General features: G+C 36.6%; 1 protein-coding gene and 1 non-coding gene across 13 annotated transcripts in view; one reads left to right on the forward strand and one right to left on the reverse strand.

Moving 5' to 3' along the window:
• Positions 1 to 21305, forward strand: part of DISP1 (dispatched RND transporter family member 1) — a 190957-nt gene that overhangs the window by 93724 nt on the left and 75928 nt on the right. For 2 of the 12 annotated variants that reach the window (NM_032890.5, NM_001377229.1), the window contains one exon: positions 19668 to 19808. The exons of 8 other annotated variants lie outside the window; for them this stretch is intronic. The gene's annotated coding sequence lies outside the window, so the exon portion shown is untranslated. Of the gene's footprint in view, positions 1 to 19661; positions 19809 to 19951; positions 20033 to 21305 lie in introns of those variants that run through there. 2 more of the 12 variants (XM_006711592.3, NM_001369594.1) reach the window with 2 other exon arrangements.
• On the reverse strand, positions 3082 to 3185 carry LOC124904830 (small nucleolar RNA U13). The gene has a single exon (XR_007067426.1). It is a non-coding gene; the product is annotated as a small nucleolar RNA U13 (small nucleolar RNA).

Below are 21305 nucleotides of genomic sequence, written 5' to 3' on the forward strand. Positions count from 1 at the left end.
TATTTCAGTGTAAAATAAGCAGAAGCCTTTTCCAGAAGCAAAGACCATTTTTTTCTGATCACTACAGAAGATACCCTGATTAATTTTTAGTCTTTGACTCTTTCATTAAAAAAAAAAAAGAATTCCTGGAGATTATTATTTTTCTGTTTGTGATGTTGATGTACTACACTTTGCAAATTTATTGTATCCTGGTACGGTTTGGGATACACCTTATTCTTCCTTAGAATATACACTTTCTACAAAAAAGACTTGGGATGGGTTACTTCTGAGGATGATGTGGGCTGCATGGGTCAAAACCATTCAAGTTGATTCATGTTCATTTCAGTTTTTGATTCAAGATAAACATCTTTTAGAATTCTGTAATTGTATCGAATTATATCTTGAATTGTATTAAATTATATTGTATATATAGATATACATTTATATCTATAAATGTATTGAATTCTATAATTCAATAATGTATGTAGAGAACAGAGGAAGTCAGAAGGACATGTGTCAACACTGTGTTTATGATTTATACCTATCAGCTCCCTGGTTGCCTTAAAATTGTAACTGTTTAAAGCTCATTATGAATAACCCAGGATTTATTACATTCATTTGGATAAAATGGACAATATGGTTGTTATAAATCAAAGCAAGTAAAACCTATATGCCACTAGGATTGTTTATGAATGTGTTATTTCTCTTGTTATTCAGGATCCCATTGACATGTTTGCATATATGCACATTTACTTGAACTTATCATGTAAAAATTTATCAGCATTTATCAACTCTTCTGTAGTTGGCACCATGCTGAGCACTCCAGTGTCAAGGAGGAACACAGGAGAGTTCCAGTCACATAGCTCCATGAAGTTCTCGTTTCAACACCATATCCCACATGGCAACAAAAGGATATAAAAGATAAAACTAAAACAATATACCTAGTCTCAAAATCAAGACAAACATCTCTAAGGACCAGGAGGCGACCAGAAATAGAAAGTGATAAGTAGGCCTGGAACTCTGAGCCTGCCAAGCTCCTGGCCAGAAGCAGGAAGTTGCTCAACTACTCCTCAGCCACTTCTCAGGAGACGGTGGAGCTCATGCCTGAAGGAAGGGATGGAAGCCAGGAGAATCCTTCCCCCTGCCTGATTTCCATCATTGTTAATAGACACTAAAACGTTAGCTGCCAGCTCTGCCTGGGGCTGTGGTCTTATTGTAAGCTGTGAACTAAGGGGCAAAAGTAGGATAAAAACACAGTTTAGTGACCAGAAACTGAAAAAGTTGCCTGCTGGTTCTGTAATATCCCTAATGTTGTCCTTCTAAACTATTATTCAAGGATGAGGCTGGCGCGGTGGCTCACACCTGTAATTCCAGCACATTGGGAGACCAAAGTGGGAGGATTGCTTGAGCGCAGGAGTTCAAGACCAGCTGAGCAACATGGCAAAACCCTGTCTCTATAAAAAAATACAGAAAATAGCAGATATGGTGGTGTGTACCTGTAGTCCCAGCTACTCAAGAGGCTGAGGTGGAAGAATCACCCGAGCTGGAGAAGTCGAGGCTACAGTAAGCCATGATTGCACTATGGCACTCCAGCCTGGGGGTCGGAGTAAGACCCTGTCTCCAAAAAACAAACAAACGAAAAGGGATGAGGGCAAAATTAAGACATTTTAACATATGTGGAATAAGAGTATAAGAGTATTTACCATTCACATAACCTTTCTAAAAGAAATACTAAATGGTGCACTCAGTAGGAAAAAATGTCCCAGAGGGAAGGTGTGGTGGGCTTAGAAAATAATAGTGAAATTGATTGAAATATTAGAGATGTAAGTAGTCATTTCTTGTATTTGAAATGTGTGAACATGATTTGTTCAATTATAGCATTAATTTAATTTAACTACAAAAATAAGCTCTTAAGATACTGCAAATGTCCAATATGTCCAATAGGACCTTGTTGTTAGGTAACCAGAAGAGAGAATGACTTCTGAGTCAAAGCAGTCTAAACAGAGAAAAGGAAATTTAGGTGTACCTTGAAGAAATATGTAGGATTCAGCTTTGTCAATCTCATTGGAGGCTGTGCAGTGAAAAAGAGCAATGTGAGCAAATTGCATTTAGGTAGTGACTCATTTTGAGGGTAGTTTGGCCAGGGTTTATGTAAGAGAGTGACTGGGGAGGTTATTTTGAACCTTTTGGAATCCTTCTAGTAGGCACTGGGGTATCTGTATTGAGATAAATGAGATGGTATCCTTTTTAGCTGACTTTTTTCCAGGCAAGCCCTAGCAATTTGTCTTCTCTAAATGAGCAACATATGTATCTTTAAGAAATTCACAGTAATTGTCTTCAGGGCTTTCTCTTTTTCTTTGTAGAATGCCATATTCTCAAGTTGTGTTTTCTTTTTCTGATGATTAGCTTAGGTAATTTGAAAGGCTCTACCTCTTTGTATTATATCAGCTTTGGTTAAAACCTGTTTTTGCTTTGTTCCTTGGTTGATCCTTAGACTGAATGAAGGCCAATTAGATATTAGTATAAAGTAGGTGATATCATAGCATCAGAGAGAATCTTCTGTAAACCAGAGCCTGCTTCCAATTTGTATTGTCTAGAGAACAAAGGGTATCTTTGCACCAAAGAGACTGGGAGAAGTTGGTATTTACTTTGCTTCAAGTATAAAACTGTAGAGCAAGGGTTAAGGAACTCTTAAAGGAAGGGCACCTTCTAGTACCCTTCTTTTTCCTCTTTTACAGATGGAAGAAATTTTTTTTTGGCTTTTAATTTTTTTTTCTTTTTGAATCAGAGTTTTGCTCTTTTGTCCAGGCTGGATTGCAGTGGTGCAGTCATAGCTCACTGCAGCCTCAAACTCCCAGGAATTTCCTGGGATTGCTCAAACAATCCTTCTGCCTCAGCCTCCCAAATAGCTGAGCCTATAAGTGCATGCCACTACATCCAGCTAATTTTTTGTTTGTGTGTGTATTTTTTTGTAGAGACAGGGTCTTGCTATGTTGCCAAGGCTGATTTCCAACTCATGGCCTCAAGTGATCCTCCCGCCTCAGCCTCCCAGAGCACTAGAATTATTGGCATGAGCCACTGTCCCTGGCCCATTTGTTTTCATGTCAAACTTGTAATGTGCCAACATAGTAACAAGGTTTGAGGGAGGCACATCTCACACATCAGCATGAAAACCAAATCATGTTGCTTATGAACTACAAGTGGACTAGGAAGAGATTATAATGAGGGAGTGAGATGGTGGATGCCAGCTTAAAGAATAGCAAGGAATTGAATATGTGGTTGCAGCAGCCAGCACTCATGTGATCTTTGACCATGGGCCGGAGGAATCTGAGTCTTGTCTCTGGAATTCCCAGAAGTACCTTATTTTTCATAAGCTCTTACTAATGTGCTTTAACCAAGTTGCTGTATGTCCAGAATTATAATGAATCTTTTGAGGTTATAAGAAAAAAAAATAAGTTGGAACTTAAAGAAGAGCCACTGTTTGCAAGAGGGCTTAATCATATCTTCATATCTCTGCAATTAATCTGTAGGTTTGCATAGAGTAGCAATTTGGACCGTTTATGTATTTTTCTCTCAATAAATTGTTTTAGAAGCTAGATTACTTTGCAGCATAAAGCACCTACTTTTTCTTCTGACTTACCTGTTTCCAGTGTTGTATTTTGTCCTCTCCCCTCAGTTTCCTACTTTTCCCTCAGATTGCCTTAGCTTCTGCTTTGCTTATGTTCTTCCCACTATTTGATGTGTATGTCATACATTTATCACCTTGTTACTGCTTATGGCTGTTTTCCTTTTCCCACATTTCCTTTACAGTCTGTTACTTCCTTTCTTTTTACTTCTTTTTACTTCTGTTACTTCCTTTCCTCATTCTCTCCTCCTCTATTTCTGTTTGCCTTGGTTTCCTCATTTGTTGAAATCGTTTTCTTAAAGGGGTTTCTTAAAGGTTATAGTGAGTTGACTCATGGATTAATCAAAGTGTTTCTTTTTAACTTTATTTTATTGTCAGGCCTTATTAGCCAGCAGAATAATAAAGCCAATCATAGTATATTCTTAAGTTTGAGTAAACTTTTGTTGAACTTATTTGGTTATTTGAGGTTTCACTAAAGAATGTGAGTTAGAAAAATGGCAGAGTGATAGGGATGTGCTTTCATGTCTGAGTATTGACCTGTGATGTAATGGGTGCAAGAATGAAACATAGTTGCCATATGCAGTGATGTGATCTTGGGATATGAGACAATTTGTACTCTCAACCTGCATGACTAGATATTTATAGCAGAAATGCTAAAATGAAAACAAAAACAAGAACTTTGTTCTTGAAAAAACTTCTAATTAGACTTTAAAGTTTTGGAATATAGTAAAAAAAATAGTGACTGGAACTTAGTAAATTAGAAAGGTTTGTTTTGATGTGAGAAGTATGGCCTGTACCCCACCTTCTTGGTACTTGGTAGTTGCTTGTATTCTCTTTAAAGATTTACCTATACAATAGTTAGAAGTGAAATATAATATTAAGACCAAATTATTTTATAGGATATTAACAAATTAAGCAAATAAATTAAGTTTTATTTTTATAGATGAGACCATTCACTTTTATATATCAAAATGCTAGCTTGCATGTATCAATATAGAGACATTACTCTTAGACTCAAATGATCTAGAATATGAACTTCCAAGTTAGAGTTTATTTGCAAAAGAAGTTGAATCATAAAATATCTAAATTACTTGAATTATATTTCTCTTATAATCATTCTTCTATTTGCTTAGCAATAAGATATTATCTGTGATGGGCTTCCTTTTTCTTTTTACTCTCTGCTATTACTCCTTAACTTTTTGTCTTTAAAAAAAGTTGCAAGGTACTAGCACTAAACATTCAGTAAAGGAGTAGATAAGGCTGGGCATGGTGTCCCACGCTTGTAATACCAGTACTTTGGGAGGCCAAGATGGGAGGATCTCTTGAGACTAGGAGTTTGAGATAAGCCTCAGTAACATAGCAAGACTACATCTCTACAAAAAAAAGAAAAAAAAAAGGAGTGAATAAAATAGGAACCTCTAAATAGTATTTATCTTTGCAATAGCTTTTATAAAATTTGAGATTCAAACTCCTTGTTTGATACACTCTAAATCCAAGTGGGGGTAACTTGTTTTAATTCCAAATTTGTACTTAAGTGTGGGAATAGCTCATCTTTTTCAAATACATTCTAAATAAAAAAAAAAATGGGTAGGATCTGCTTATATAACTCATACTGTTATATGTGTTTTTTTGGTTGTTTTTTTTTTTTTTTTAACCCAAGCTTACATAGGTTTTCTCTAATGCTAGGTGATCTGAAGGAAATCATTAAAATCTTTGGGTTGTTTGAAATTCCTTGCCTCTCTATTTGAAGTTAGTCTGGATCAAAGGGACCAGGATTTAAGTTTTTAAAAGAAACTTTGTCAAAATAAAAACTCCTTTAGGGAGACTTATGCAAATACTCAGTTGGACTTTTCAAATATAGTACTTAAATCCAGAAATAAATGTGTATTACTATATACAAATTTAATTGCCTTCCAAAATATATTACACCAAAGGGATATTCATTTTATGCTTTGAAGTTGGGTTCAGAAAAAATTTTTTTGTGTGACCTGGTGATGTCTGTACATTGTTATTAATTTGGATTATAAGTTTTCTTTGGAACAGTTCAAGGGGCTTTGTCTTTAGAAACAAGATGATGTGTTACCAGGACCTTACCTCCTTTTTCATTCTTCTTGCCTCCCTCTTTCTTTCACTCATCCTCTTGAAAAGGTTATAGTCATTTATCACTGTGAGAATAGGCACTGCAAATACTATTATGAATATGAGACCATTATCCTTCCCTTCCTCCTCCCATCCCCAGAGATATGGTGAGAGATCTTGTAAAACTTAGTTTTTGGCAATGTCAAAAGGTGTAAATAAGTTAAGATCATAGGCCAGGTGTGGTGGCTCACACCTATAATCCCAGCAATCTGAGAGGCCAAGGCAGGAGGATCTCTTGAGCCCAAGAAGTTCGAGACCAGCCTGGGCAACACAGCATGACCTCATCTCTACTAAAAATTAAAATTAAAATAATTAGCCGGGGACGGTAGCCTGCCCCTGTAGTACCAGGTATTCAGGAAGCTGAGGCAGGAGGATTGGTTGAGCCCAGGAGTTTGAGGCTGCAGTGAGCCATGATTGTACCACTGCAGTCCAGCTTGGTTGTCAGAGCAAGACTCTGTCATTCATTCATTCATTAAAAAGGAAGGAAGGAAAGGGAAAAAAAGATCATAATAACAATGACTGAGCATTTTTCATATGCTCCTGGCTTTCTAAAATCTGAGTTCAGCTGTGGTTGTCCTGGACACTGTCTGAGTCGCTGTTGTCAGTGTATCAGTATCAACAGGAACCATCATTGCAAATACAGTCAGAGATTGGGAAAAGCAATTGTTTCCAAAAGTTATGCTTCTTTGATCTAAATAAATGGTACATTTTAGCTTTATGCAAGATTAGGGATTATTTTAGAGATTTATGACAATTCCATTTGTTCCTATATAGGGGATCTGAGCTTGACGCTTGATGCTGGATTTGACTAACTCCCTGCAAAGCCAGCAGGGTGTAGATGTGTATTACCAAGGCATTACACTTGGCAAAGGAAGGAATGAATGCTGCATTGCCTAATATCCCATAGGGATGGGAAGGAGGAGTGTATAACATTCCTTCAGTGTGATTGAGGGCTGTGTAGACTGTATGAGTAAGACAATGTGACTTGAAGATATTAAGTAGAGTCCATACTTAGGTCATTAGAATTCTTGGTCATTGACCTAGATATCAGGAAAGCAAATAGTGTTGGGTGATTAACCAGGGCAGATGCCTTAATTTAGGAATGCAACAAATAACTTACTAGTTTTCATTTTTCCAGCTCCTCAACCTTTTCTTTCATCTTTCATTCTCTTGTTAGTATTAGGCATGGTCGGTGACAGATCTTTGCCAAGGTCTAATACTGAATATTACTAACAGCATGGTGATAAATGTCTCTTCTGTTTCTTTTTAAGGCACAGGTTATCTTGTTGCTAACATAACTCAGAACTCTGATACCATGACCTGCTTAGTAAATAAAATACTTTCCTGCTATCAATAATTGTGTACGCTTACTTTTTGTTGTTATTGTTGCTTTGTAACCAAAGTATTAGAATGCCCATCTCCTTTGCTGTTTCTTTGCAAATTCAGTGCCTGAACCAATACTTATAACCTATTTGTCATGGCAATTTTCATTATAAGATTAGGTAGTGAGTTGTTGTATAGAAATAGAAATATGAGAATTCACTTTAAATATTTACCCTCTTCATTTTTGTCAAAAGTGTAATGATCCTGGCTTGAGTACCTGGAACAGGTTAACCTGTGGATTTTTCTTCTCTAAAATATTTAAGGTTAAAGGTGCCTCTGATGACTGCTACAGGTTTTATCTAGCCCCAGTTACAGCATTCTGAGTCTTTTGGGTGTGCCCCAACATAGTAGCATACTTTATGGCAAATATATGGTCGCTTGATATGAGCATTGGGACAGCTCTCTTCTTGTGTTTACACTTCACAATACGAACTGGAGCATTTGCTGATCCACACCCAGGAGGTTCATTCTGGCTAACAGCCCAGTAAAGTCTACCATTTGGGATGGTAATGGTCAGCTAGGACTTGCCTAGGCTTTCAGCATTGGAGTTTGCAATAAATATGCGAAAGATACCTTGGTCTTGAAGAGCCTGACTGTGGAGCATGCCAATCAATTGTAATGAGTTTTGTTTCAGTGTTTTTGAAATGGCATTTGCTGAGCTTAGTGACATGCTGTCCTTAAATATGTTAGGATACCCTTTTGCCTTCTATGACTTAATTGTAGTTTCTAATGTATGTCATTTATAAATATATTCTTTCAGCCAGGCCTAAGTTTTGAGCCTAACAACACGTCTGTGTTGGTATATTTTCAAGAGTTTTTTAAGAGACCTAAGTAAAATATTCTAGCATATTTCTTATACTCTTAAATTCTGATATAAATAAATATCCTTACTCCTGCCCATTTGTCATTACCTTATTTCTTATCTTTTCACAACCATCTTGCAGAATTTTATTGTTTCAGGCTGAAAGAGTGAGGGTTGTGATCAACTCAGTATACCATTGGAGGTTATAAGAGTAAACAGCAAACTGTTCTCATAAATGCAGAATGTTGGCAAACTGACAAACTGCATCTGCCGCCCAGAAGGAATGCTGAGGGAATTCACGCCCCAAGCGCAGTGTTTCTTGTGATTAGGCACATTTGAAGCCTGTTAGCAATAATGTGAACCTGTGATCAATCAAGCAGCTGACCAATCGTTATCTGCTTCTCTCTGCTCCTTCTACCCAGTAAATATGAAGGGCTGTAGAAGCTGAGGGCTGCTGCCTTTGCTCACTAGAAGCAAGGAGCTCTCTTCTTCTTCCCCGGACTTCTTCTTTAAAACAGTTTCTTTTAAGTTTTCATTTCTGCATTTGTCCCCCCTTCATTCAGTCCTGTGGTAACCGTAGTAACTGTGGCAAACTGCGGCAAGTGGCACCCAAACAGGGGCGAACAGGGACAGATAGAGACTAGCAGAGACTTGCAGGGACAGGGAGGGACAGACAGGGACAGATAGGGTCCTATAGGGACTTGAATGAGGAAGGTATGCTGGAACAGAGAAAGTGAGACTGACCAGACGAACAAGAAACCCCTTTACAAGTCTGCCAGCAGCAATATAAGGTCAGTGCCCTAAAGAGGTAAAGAGAATGGGAAGTTTTTGAATCAGGGTAACATGGGGAAGAATTTGGCTATTTCTTTTCTCTTTTCTGTTTGGAATTTGGTTCATATTGTCCTTTTGTCATTATTTCAAAATTCGAGAGAATTTTTTGCACCACCCACAGCACCTATCAAGGGTGGTGAACAGAAGAGGGAGGATGAAAATTGCCTTGTACGGTCTTCTTTTATGGCTACAGGAAGGCTAACTTTAACTTTGGCTTTTGAGATTGCAAACGTGGACTGTAAATGTGCACTGGCACCTGTGAGATGTACAAAAAACTTGGGAGGTTTTCTCAGAGCTTGTCAAGATATGGGAACTGAGCTTCATTGCTCTACAATGTTGGTTCAAGCAATGGCCTATTTGGTAGTTGATCCAAGGGGACTAAAGTGGGAAAATGTCATAAGTGTAGAAAAATTGGACATTTCAAAAAAGAATGCTGTCAGACCTCTGGGCAGAAGGGATCTTATAACACGGTTCCCCTCTCAACAGAAAAAATGCCAGGACTTTGCCCTCATTGCAATAAGTGAAATAAATCATTGTGCTAATCAATGCCATTCAAAATGTCATCAAAACGGCACCTCCCTGTTGGGAAATGAGAAGGGGGCCTGGACCCGGGCACCTCAAACATTGAGGACATTCCCCATCCAGGCCACAATTCTGTTTCAGGGGTGGGTCTCCAGAGGCATATTGATTCCCTCTCCCCAGGAACACCTGGAAGCGCAGTATTGGATTTCCCAGTCAGAGAACTGGTTACGTTAATTGGAGGAAACAAACCCACTAAGATTCCCACTGGTATTTGGGGACCTTTGCCAACAGGATACATGGGATTAATTTTGGGCACAAGTCATCTTAACTTATAGGGCATTACTATAGTCCCAGGAGTTGTTGATTTTGATTGTGAAGGAGAAATTCAGGTAGTGGTATTGTCACAAGATCTTTGGGTTTTTGAACTGGGAAAATATATTGCTCAACTGTTGCTTATTCCCTGTAAATTGCACCCTTCTCCATGAAAGGAGAGATGAGGGAATCGAGGGATTTGGAAGTACAACTACATGGGAAGTTTATCACAACCCATAGTATCTAGTAGACCCACTTGTGCAGTGCAGATTGAAGAAAAGAAGTTGTGTGGGCTTATGGATATGGGAGCAAGAGATGGGTCTCTCATGGTGATAGATCTTGAGGATTGATTTTTTTACTGTGCTATTGCACGAGAAGAATAAACCTTGATTTGTTTTCTCTGTGCCTTCTGTTAATCAGAAAGAGCCTGCCTCTTGTTATCAATGGAAAGTTTTACCCCGGGGTAATTAACCAAAGAGGCAGAAGCTGAGATACAGCTTGTGGAGCAGATGCTTCAGCAACGGCATGCCTCCTGGCTGCAGCCACAAAAGCCTTTGCTTTTGTTTGGGTTGATTTACTAATGTGGGTATGAGGGTATGCTTGTGTTTTTATAGGAAATGTACAAACCGTGTGGGTGCCCTCAAGATGTGTGCAACCACGGAACTGGAGACTGGAGGGAGCCATGGATCCCAACCACCGGCTTGGTTCCCTCAGTAGGAGCCATAAGCCAGTTGAATTTGAATGTGAAGACTGAACGAACCACCAACCGGCAATTAAGGGCTGCACAGCCTGCAATTGCCTTTCTTAATTAATTAAAAAACAAAGGGAGAGATGGTGCAGGCCGAAAGAGTGGGGATCGTGATCAACTTAGTATACCACTGGAGGCTATATGAGTAAACAGCAAACTTTTCATAAATGCAGAATGTTGGCAAACTGACAAACTGCATCTGCCGCCCAGAAGGAATGCTGAGGGAAGTCACGCCCCGAGCGCAGTGTTTCTTGTGATTAGGCACATTGAAGCCTGTTAGCAATAATGTGAACCTGTGATCAATCAAACAGCTGACCAATCGTTATCTGCTCCTCCCTGCTCTGTCTACCCAGTAAATATGAAGGGCTGTAGAAGCTCAGGGCTGCTGCCTTTGCTCACTAGAAGCAGGGAGCCCTCTTCTTCCCCTGATCTCTTCTTTAAAACAGTTGCTTTTGTTTTAAGTTTTCATTTCTGCGTCTGTCCCCCTTCGTTCAGTCCTGTGGTAACCGTAGTAACTGTGGCAAACCACAGCATTTTATTTCATATAAACAAATTTCTGAAGCTAGATATAGCATGACATAATTTTGAACTGTTTGAACTTCTGAATAACTAATGCACGTGTTTTCAACATATAAAACAACTCCCTCTACATTAGTGAAATATCTAACCCTACTAGCCCTAATGTTTTCTACGTTAGAGCTTGGGTAGCTTAAGGTTCTTTCCTTGCCAAAAATATTACCACATATTACAGAAAGTTTCAATAAAATGGGATTTGAATTTTCATTTTCCTTTTTCCATACAACTTCATTTTATTTTTGGGAATGTGATGTGTCATTTTCTTAATGTTGCTGTAATCTAAGTTATACTTAATCTAAGCCTTTAGCAATGATGACAGGTGTTTGTATGCAGGTGATATTTATATTCCTACGGAGTCTAACTTTTGGAAAATTAGTTTGCATGTATTTTTATTTCATGACATACAGTAAAGGTAACCTTCTCTATAAATGTTTGATGTCTTACAGAAAATTTCAGTGTATTAGTTATAACCTCTCAATCTATGCATACCACATGCATGTAGATTCATTTAGAGTTTGGGAACAAAATACAACTGAAACTGTTAAAGAGAATGTTCTGATTAGACTCTTCAAGACATAGTGGTCTTCATTCAAGGAGTAAATCTCCTGCCAAGAGTTTCTATCATAAAAGTAAAATATTACATTTTGAAATGCTGTATCACAAACCAAAAATATTTTGGAAACTCTCCAGAGCCCATGGATTTATTGTAATTTGCTTTTAAATCATAGTGCAGCACAGATTATATATTTAGATGATCTACAGTCTACTTATTTTGTTATGGCTGAAGTGATTCAGCTTGTTTTTGATATAAAACTATCAAATATGAGCCTTCTGTCCTCTAAAACATAACACTATACTTTGTGTGGGAGAAAAACTCTTGTTAAAGACAAAATGTTCCCTTGAATTCCAGTGTGAAATCCGCAATAAACTAACCTGCTTGAGTTAGTTTTCACATTTAAAAACTTTTCTTTATAGTAATTTTTTGGTTACGTTAAGGAGGGTTGGAATTTTGCCTATTTTTTAGCATTAGTCAGACTTTTTTCTTCACAGAAAAATGAAAAACTACGTCTTCTCTGAAATTTAATGATCTCTATGGTTTTTGCTTTAAAATATGTACCCCAGTTTCTGATCACTATTAAAATTTTTGATAGTATATAAATTAATATTAAGTAAATTTCATTCTAGATGACCAAAATGCTTTCTGTATAGTGATAAAATGCATACGGTTTTCTAGTCTATAATCAAATGAAGCAAAGATCATAATAAATAAAAACTAAGATTTTCCAGATTCACTTATTTCTAAGACACTTTATCACAGAAATCATATTTGCTACTATAAGATTAATTGGGCCGGGCACAGTGGCTCACGCCTGTAATCCCAGCACTTTGGGAGGCCAAGGCGGGCAGATCTCCTGAGCTCAGGAGTTCGAGACCACCCTGGGCAACATGGTGAAACACCCTGTCTCTACTAAAAATACAAAAATTAGCCGGATGTGGTGCATGCCTGTAGTCCCAGCTACTCGGGAGGCTGAGGCACGAGAATCACTTGAGCCCTGGAGGTGGAGGTTGCAGTGAGCTGTGATCATGCCACTGCATTCCAGCTTGGGCTAAAGAGTGAGACTCCATCTCAAAAAACAAAAAAGAAAAAAAGTAATTGGCAATTAAGCTACAGACTTATACTTAATGACTCACTATAAGTGAAAACTCTTTATTTTTTTTTCCTTGTTTAAAAATATTTCTGTCAATGCCATGGGAAAATTCTACCTTCAAAACAAAAAAATAAAATTATAAAAACTACCCAAGAATATGCTTGCATGTTAGCTTCTGGAGCAACCTCTACTGAGAAAAGGGTGAAAGCTAATTACTGTCATTCCTTATTATTCAGTAGCAGTTTAGTATTCAGAATTTAAAAGCTGAGAATAGTGTAACATATTGTGGGGCCCATATAAATCAGCAGTAAAATAGGATTTTGTATGCTGAATATTAATTTACAGACTACATTTCAATACTGTATTCTGCTTAATAAAGGATATATGTAATAACAAGTTATAAAATGTCAATTGTTCAATAAACATTTGTCAAGTATAAATATTTGACCTAGTACATGGTATAATATACTTTATATCCCTTCTTAAGGGGTATAAAAATGATTATAATAGAACCTGTGCCTTTACATATAGATTAAGAGGGTAAAAGAGATATATAAATGACCACAATAAAAAAAGACATGTGCTAAGTACCATGAGGGATCTCAGGTCATGTATGTAACTTAGAATAGAAAGAGAGAATTTCTGGCTTAGGTAATCAGAGAAGGTTTCATGTTGTTTGCTGTGTGTTGTGAAGAATGGATGGGATTATGGAAGTTGGAAATGTGAACAAAGGCCATTGCTGGTAGAGAGACTAGCACAAGCACTGAGGGTGTGAGGGTGTGTGTGAAAGCTTGTTTGGAGTAAAGCAAATTCTGTTTGGCAAGGGCAGTGAGTGGGAGGGGAAAGAGCCCAGATAATGGAGAATCTTGTGTGCCAGCTAAGATGTTTAAACTAGTGGGGGAGCCATGAGTGTTTTTTTGGACTGAAGAGCAGCTTGATCAGATCTATCTCTTATATGATGTATCGAGAAGCTCTATGTTGCTTAGATAAGGTAGAAAAGGTAGGAGACCATAGATAGGGTCACATCTATTAGGCTGTTGTAGTAATTCAAGGGAAAGTTAATCTAAGAAAGTAGCAGAGGAAATGGAAAGGATGGGTATATGTGACAATGGCTAGGACTTGGGAATGAATGAACAAGGGTATACAGGGTGTAAAGGTCAAAGATGACTCCTGCCCTAGCTCAGGATGCAGCACAGATCTGGTGTTCAATAAATACATATTTAAGTGAAAATTTTGGGCTTAAATGACTGAAAGGGTGCGCAGAAGTAGGAAAATCAAGAAGTTGTTTGAGGATGATAAGATCATTTGTATTTTAAATTGAGTTTGAGCTGCTGGCAGGATATATACATTGAAATGTCCTTAGAGAGTAGAAGCTGCAGAAATGGAACTTATAATAGAAATTGGAGTGTGACAATATAGGCAGGAGACATAAAGCAGAAAGTTCAAAGGAAAAGACCCTTGGATATTGCTCAAGATTTAGAATAACAGAATTAAGAAGATCTGCCAAGAAAATGGAATAGAGGTTAAAGAGATAGAGAATGTTAGGATAATGGAAACTAAGTAAAGAGAAAAGAGTATTTACCAACAAAGTTGGTAAATGAAGAAATGTAAAGAAAATGAATATTGAGAAAGGACCACTGGGTTTCATTTTTGAAGAAACAGTTTTATTAGATGGTAGTTAAGATTGTAGGAAGTGAAGGAACGAGATGGGGTTAAAACTTGAGTATTGTCTGGCAAAGGAAAGGAAAAGATAGGTAAGTAGCCTGAGGACTAGCAGGCCAAGGGAAGGAATTTTTCAGGCTAGGGGAAAACTAAATATTTTTTGTAAGTAATAATTTGACAAAGATGGAAAAATGAAGATGGACTTGGGGAGGCAGAGTGAGACAGAGTAAAGAGACATGGTGGTCAAGATTGAGAGTACCTGTGTCCAGTAAGACTGTCTGTAGTGATGACAATATTCTCTATTTGCACTGCCCAATTCAGAAGCCGTGAACTGCATATGACTCTTGAGCACTTGAAATGTGACGCCTTGTGCAACTGGAACACTGAGATTTTTAAATTTCATTTAATATGAATCAATTTAAAATTAAGTCACCACATGTGGCTTGTGGCTACCTTATTGGGGAGCAAAGATACAGTGGATAAATACAGTAATTAATAGCAGGAAAAAGGGTTGGACACTGAGAGATAAGGGACAAGTTCCAGAAAAAGTTTGAAGTACAGGCAGTAGTGTTTAAAGGAACTCATAGTCAAATAGTTTCATTCTTTCCCATAAAATAGGTGGCATCATTTGCTGAGAAGGTTAAGGTAGGGAGCATGAGAAAGATTTCCAGCCATGCTTGTGGAGATTTCCAGTGGAGAATCTATGATAGATGAGATGAATCACAGCCGCATTATAAGCCCTCTGGAGTTGAGAGTGTGCATTTGTTTTAGGTCTCTGCTTCCTTGTCTGGTGACTTTTTTCGGTAACATTTCTAAATCTAAGAGAGAAAGGAAAAAAAGAAGGGCAGGGAGAGCAAGTTTAGTGGAGCTCTTTGAAAGGCTGGAATGCTGGTGAAGTAAATAAATGCTGACGATGAGCTCTTAACTAAGCACAAAGCAAGTAAAAATAGGAAAGGACATGGATAAAGACTCTAGAGCCACGAGGTCATAAGGGTGAATATGTCAGACTATGGAAGACCGGCAAGGCCATAAAATTTTCTGTTGTAAAAATTGTAGATTTTAGAGGTAGAATTTTCAACAGGAAATGAGATAAGAAAGAAGAAATGTCTGTCGTTGGGTAAGAGGAATATATAAGACAGATGTACATATTTCCAAATTGTTGGGGAGGAATTTCAGCATCCCTTGAATTTTTTTTGTTTTCCTGCAATTTGCTTGCAATATTGTCTTTGCTCCAGACTTGCTAATTCAACTTTGAATGCATGGTCTTTTCTTAAATAATCCAGGTTTGAGTAGTAAAATTGGGATTTATCTTATCTATTTGCAGTGATATCCAAATTCATAAAAACTGAATTCAGAGCCAGCAGGGACCTATGAGATCATCTCATCTAGTGTTTGGATTTTGTAGATAAGGAGACTGTAACCTCTTGATTCAGTGATGAGTTCAAGGTTACATAGCCAGTGAGTGGTAGAGCTGAGACTAACTTCAAGTCTTCAGTGATTCCCTGCACTGGGCTATGACTTGGGCAGCATAATGCTCTGGTCTGAAGTTTTCAGTGGGTATGGAACTATTTGTACTCTGGAAACATCAAAATCCAATATAGAATATTATCTTCAGAACTTTGGTATGATTAGTTTTTCTGAACTTGTACTTCCAAATTACTAAACTATTAATTTGACCATACTGAAAGAAAAATCTTGCTGAAGCAGTATCTACAATGTACCACAGTTTACTTGTTCATAACTGTTTGACACTTAATGCTAAGAAAAAAGATAAATAGACAAGACTTTTAAATGTTAATAAATGTAACAGAATCCGGAATTGCATTTTTGACTAGGTGCAGCTGGGAAAGAGTTTATCAGCAGCTGTTTTATCACTTTTCTAAAAGTACCAAGTGTTGTGCCTCTCCTGCAGGCTCTAGTCTCTTTTTCCCTCCCCCATGCCCTTGTCTTCCTAATAATGAAGAAAGATACCTAAATAGTATGATCTACAACAAAAAGGATACTGTTTTCAGAAAATATTAGAACATCGTAAGGTCACTAGTACTTTTCTTTTCACTCTGAATAATATATTGAGAAACATATTGAAGTAATTGGGGATAATATTTATTTATAAAATAATTATGTGTCCCATGTGACAATACCAAAAATGTACTTTAACTTGTCTATTTTTACATGGACCCCAAATGTTTAAATGAAGTGATTAGACATACAAATCTGTAATTTTGATAAAAATATAAATAAGAATTTATAAGTTTCTGAGTTAGAGAATACAGGTCTTTGGTTTTTGTGACACTATATTTAATTTAAGGGATTTCTTTATAGGATCAACAACTCTAGAACCTTTGTTTGCATTTCTTGAAAGGAAAAGCACAGTGAAATAGGATTAGCTGCTTTAATAAAGTGAACCAAAATACTGTTCAGATGATCAAAGAGTGTTAAAATACCTTCATTTTTATTTTAATTCTTTAATTCCATTTTGTCATGGGAATTTTTGGTATTACAGCATTTGGCATACATATGACATGAAATCAGCATACCCTAAGATTTTAGGGATTGACTCCTTTAATATATTTCCTCAAGTAAATATTTCACTCTTCCTTTTCCCTGTCCTTTTCCTTCCAAGATTGGCTCTGTTTTAGGTGAATTAGGAGATACAGAGATGAAAGTTACCTTTCCTACCCTCTAGGAGCTCAAACATACAGTGGTTCTCAAAATGTGGGTCCCAGAACAGCAGCAGCAGCAGCATCCTGAGGACTTACTAGAAAAGCAAATTCTCAAGCCCTACCCCAGACCTTCAGAATCAGAATTCTGGGGGATGGGACTCAGGAATCTCTGTTTTCATCAGCCCTCCAGGGAATCCTCATGCACACTCAAGTTAAGAACCACTGGTCTAATGACTGGAACTTTATACCTTCCTTATTTTTGAAATTGGGATATAAGTCACATCCGAAAAAATTCACCATTTTAAAGTAAACATTTCAGTGGTTTTTAGTGTATTCACAGGACTGTGCAAACATCACCATTATCTAATTCTATAACATTTTCACCATCCAAAAATAAACTCCATACCTATTAGCAGTCACTCCCCATCCTCTGTCTCCACCCCTCAGCCCCCAGCAACCACTAACCTACATTTTGTCTCTATGGATTTGCCTCTGCTGGATATTTCATATAAATGGAATCATAAAATATGTGGCCTTTTGTTTCTTTCACTTAACGCAGTGTTTTCAAGGTTCATCCATGTTGTAGCATGTATCAGTGCTTCATTATTTTTATGGCTGAATAATATTCCATTGTATAGATGTACATATGTTGTTTATCCACTCATCAGTTAATGGATATTTAGGTTGTTTTTACTTTTGGCAGTTATGAATAAGGCACTATGAATATTCATGTACAGGTTTTTGTATGAACATATTTTCTGTCTGGTATATACAGTCAGTTCTCATTATTTGTGGTAGTTTTGTTCCTGAAGTCACTGCAAACACTGAATTAGTGAATACTGAATTACTGGTTCTAGGAGAAATACAGGATTAGGTTCCTGTAAGACTCTGGTCACATTTTCATCAGTTGATCAATATATAACCTTGTTTTATGTGTGTTTCTTTTTAAAGATATATTTATTGCTGATTCATTAACATTGAGTGCATGCCTAACAGCGCCATAACTCATGCCTGAACAAAGCGGCTTACCTAACCAGGTATATTTTCTGTGTGTGACAAGGCCTGTCACAGCCTTCTTGCACTTAGAGTAGGCAGCACTTCAGCATTACACTTGGGGGCTATTTGAAACAGTGAACTCACCAAAAAAAAAGCACAAATGTGAAAAACCTGGCACTAAATCGACCGCAAAAGGGAGACTTGTTTACAGTATGAGAGCCAAACACAAGAGGGTAGTCTTGTTTGAGTGACTCACGTTTTTCACCGCTCTGCCAATTCACATGTCTGAATGACTGTGAAAGCACCATGAGGATTATTTGGGGGTTACAAATAATTTATAGTGAATAATCATATTTGCAAATACAGAATCCACAAATAATGAGGATCAACTGTACTGGGAGTGTAGTTGCTGGGTCATATGGTAGTTCTATGTTCAATATTTTGAGGAATTACCAAGCTATTTTTTTTTTTTTTTGCAGAAGCTAAAGCGTGTTACATTCCCGCTAGCAGTGTTTAAGGATTCCAATTTCTCCATGTCCTTGACAACACTTGTTATTTTCTGTTTGTTTGAAACAGAATGGTGGATGTGAAGTGGTATCTAATAAGATACCACTTATAAGTGGTTTCGATTTGTATTTCCCTAAATCACTAATGACGTTGAACATCTTTTCATGTGCATATTGGCCATTTGTATTTCTTCTTTAGAGATGTGTCTATTCAAACACTTTACCTCTTTTAAATTGGATTATTTGTCCTTTTATTGTTGAGTTGTAAGAGCTTTTAAATATATATTCTGAATACTAGACTCTTAGATATATGACGTGCAAATATTTTCTCCCATTCTGTGTTTTCATTTTCTTGATAATGTCTTTTGATCTTCAAAAGTTTATTTTGATGAAGTCCAATTTTATCTTTTTTCTTTGTTTATGCTTTTGAAATTGTTGAAACTACTGTCCTCATATAGTTAGTACATCCTGCTACAAGAATTGCATACATATTTTTATTACCAAAGTCATGAAGAGTTAGATTTCACGGTTTCAATAAATTATAACTTATTTGCTAAGGGATGTCATTTGTAAATTTAAAGCATTTGTTCGTAGTATTTAAGAGACTTTTATGTTGTGGTTGTGGGATTTTAAATACTGGCATCATGAGGGCCATATGTTTATAAAAAGCAGTGTCAAATTTATTTAACAAACTGCTGTTTTTGTTTGGAAAATTGAAGAAAAACACTTAAAACTACTCTAACATTTTAAAAGAAGATTCTACCTCTTTTTAAAACCATGAACTTTCTGTCCTAAAAGTAGGATCTTGAGCCATTTTGTGAAAGAACACAAGAATCCCTGGAACTTGGAAATAAATGCAGATTGGTGTTTATTTGTGTTATTTTAAATGTAGTAGCACTGTGTGTTAGAAAACTCAATCTGTAACACTTAAGTCAGGCTAAGCAAGCAAATAATATCAGCTAACATGGCTTTAATCTACTAAGTAACTTAAAATCCAAAAGATCAAAGGAAGTTATAACTAAAAACAGTCCTTCATGCAGTTTCCCTGTGGAAGCAGGAAAAGGCTAGAAATTACATGTCACCTTCATATCCTGGCTTGCTGACCTTGTGCTCAGATCAAGCCCCTCTGTATGCCAGCTGTTACCATTATTAAGACCTTGCCCCAAGGGGTTAAGTAGGAGAAAAACTCTCCTGTCCTATTGGAGAGCAAACACTGAAAGTTCCAGCCCCTAACATGCCTAATTCAAAGCAATCTGCATGTGCTTGTCATTCAGTCTGTCCTGCCGCTCTGTGGAGCTGCGCCTGCCAACTCATTGCTTTCTGCTGTGCTGTGATCCTGCAGTCAGTTGCCGCTGTTGCTACTGCAATCATTTGCACCAAACTGAGCCAGAGAAGTTCCCTCTTTTAACATAAAGGTAATACATTTTCTCTTGCTGTGTGAATATGTGTGTGAGAAATGTGTGTGAATTTGTTATTTTAGGAGAATGTATTTAAAAACTGAACTTTGTTTCTAGGATTGTATTTAAAATTCCAGCTCACTGTTTTGTTTTTTTTTCAGTGTAAACTTTGAACGGCATTTGGCATTTTAACACATTAAAATCTTGTGAAGTTTATTTAAATTGTAGTCTAGCGCAGTAAGGTAAGGCCAGCCATTTCTTAAGTTTGTTAAAATGTCATGTCTTTGTGAAGTTGGAAGGAAACCTAAGCTTTAAGGAAGTTTGTTGTTTTACACTTTGAGATTCTTATTTAACTACTATCTAAAACAGAAAATTTTCAAAATATGTGCTTGCCATTACCAGGTGATAGAAAAATAAATGTAGAGTTGTAGGAATCACATTAGTCACTTTTGTGAATTAAATATTATAAGAAAATAGAAAATTATTAGCATCTTCCCTCCTATAAAGAGAGTAGTTTGGTGAAGATACCCTCTTGTGAACTAAACTTCAACAGCAAGTAATTCTTATCAGAGTTCATTTCAGATACACAGCTTGGTACAGGCCTTCAAGCTATATTTTAGTTGTTTAAATGTTTCATGCATTACATGGTAACTACAATAGTGACTGCATATGATTGGATTTACTACTTAAAAGTACAATTCAAAATATATTTGCTGTATTCACTTTTGCTTAAAATGAGAATGGATAATTTATTTGCAACTGGTGGAAAAATTCAAATTAGTTTAATGTGAAATATGTTTATGTTTGGTGTAAAATATACATTAAAAAATTAAACAGAGAAATTTAGTGAAAACTGAGATATTTCATGCACATCACTGACCATAAATGCCTTTATTCAATGATAATGCAAGAAATAGAAAACATACTTTACAATTTGTTAAAAAAATTTTACAAATAGGTATTCTTGTTGAACGAAGAAGAAGGAAATGTGTCCTTTTTACTCACAAGAAGGTTATTTTAGATCATAATATTTATAATTAAGAAAATTACAGTTCCCTTTGTTGGCTGGGAAATCACTAAACTGTGTAAATAAGCTCTAAATTTATGAGTGTTTCACTTGCAGGTAGTGGGTTTTCTGCTTCCCATGGTTTTAATATCTGGCGACACATTTCTACTTTCTAAAATGTTAAAACATTTTGCATTCTTTCATGTATTTTTTAGTCTTGCATCTCCAATAGATTATCTTAGATTGCTTTCATTGCCAACGTATCAAATATTGGGATATTTTATTGATTTTACTTTATTTAGGACTTTTTAGTATTAAAAAAGATATTTTTATGTATCTTCTATGCTTCATATAGCTCACATCTTAGACCTCAGTTTTAGACTTGTGATCATGAACTATTTGCATTGATTATGAAAAAATGTGTAATGTTTTAAGTGTCTGAAATGATTGACCTACAAAGTAGTTTAGAAAATACATGTTTACCTTAATTCAGTCTGGGAAATATGTAT

The sequence above is a fragment of the Homo sapiens genome, chromosome 1, assembly GCF_000001405.40.
Source record: "Homo sapiens chromosome 1, GRCh38.p14 Primary Assembly".
In the NCBI taxonomy this organism is placed as follows: Eukaryota; Metazoa; Chordata; class Mammalia; order Primates; family Hominidae; genus Homo; species Homo sapiens.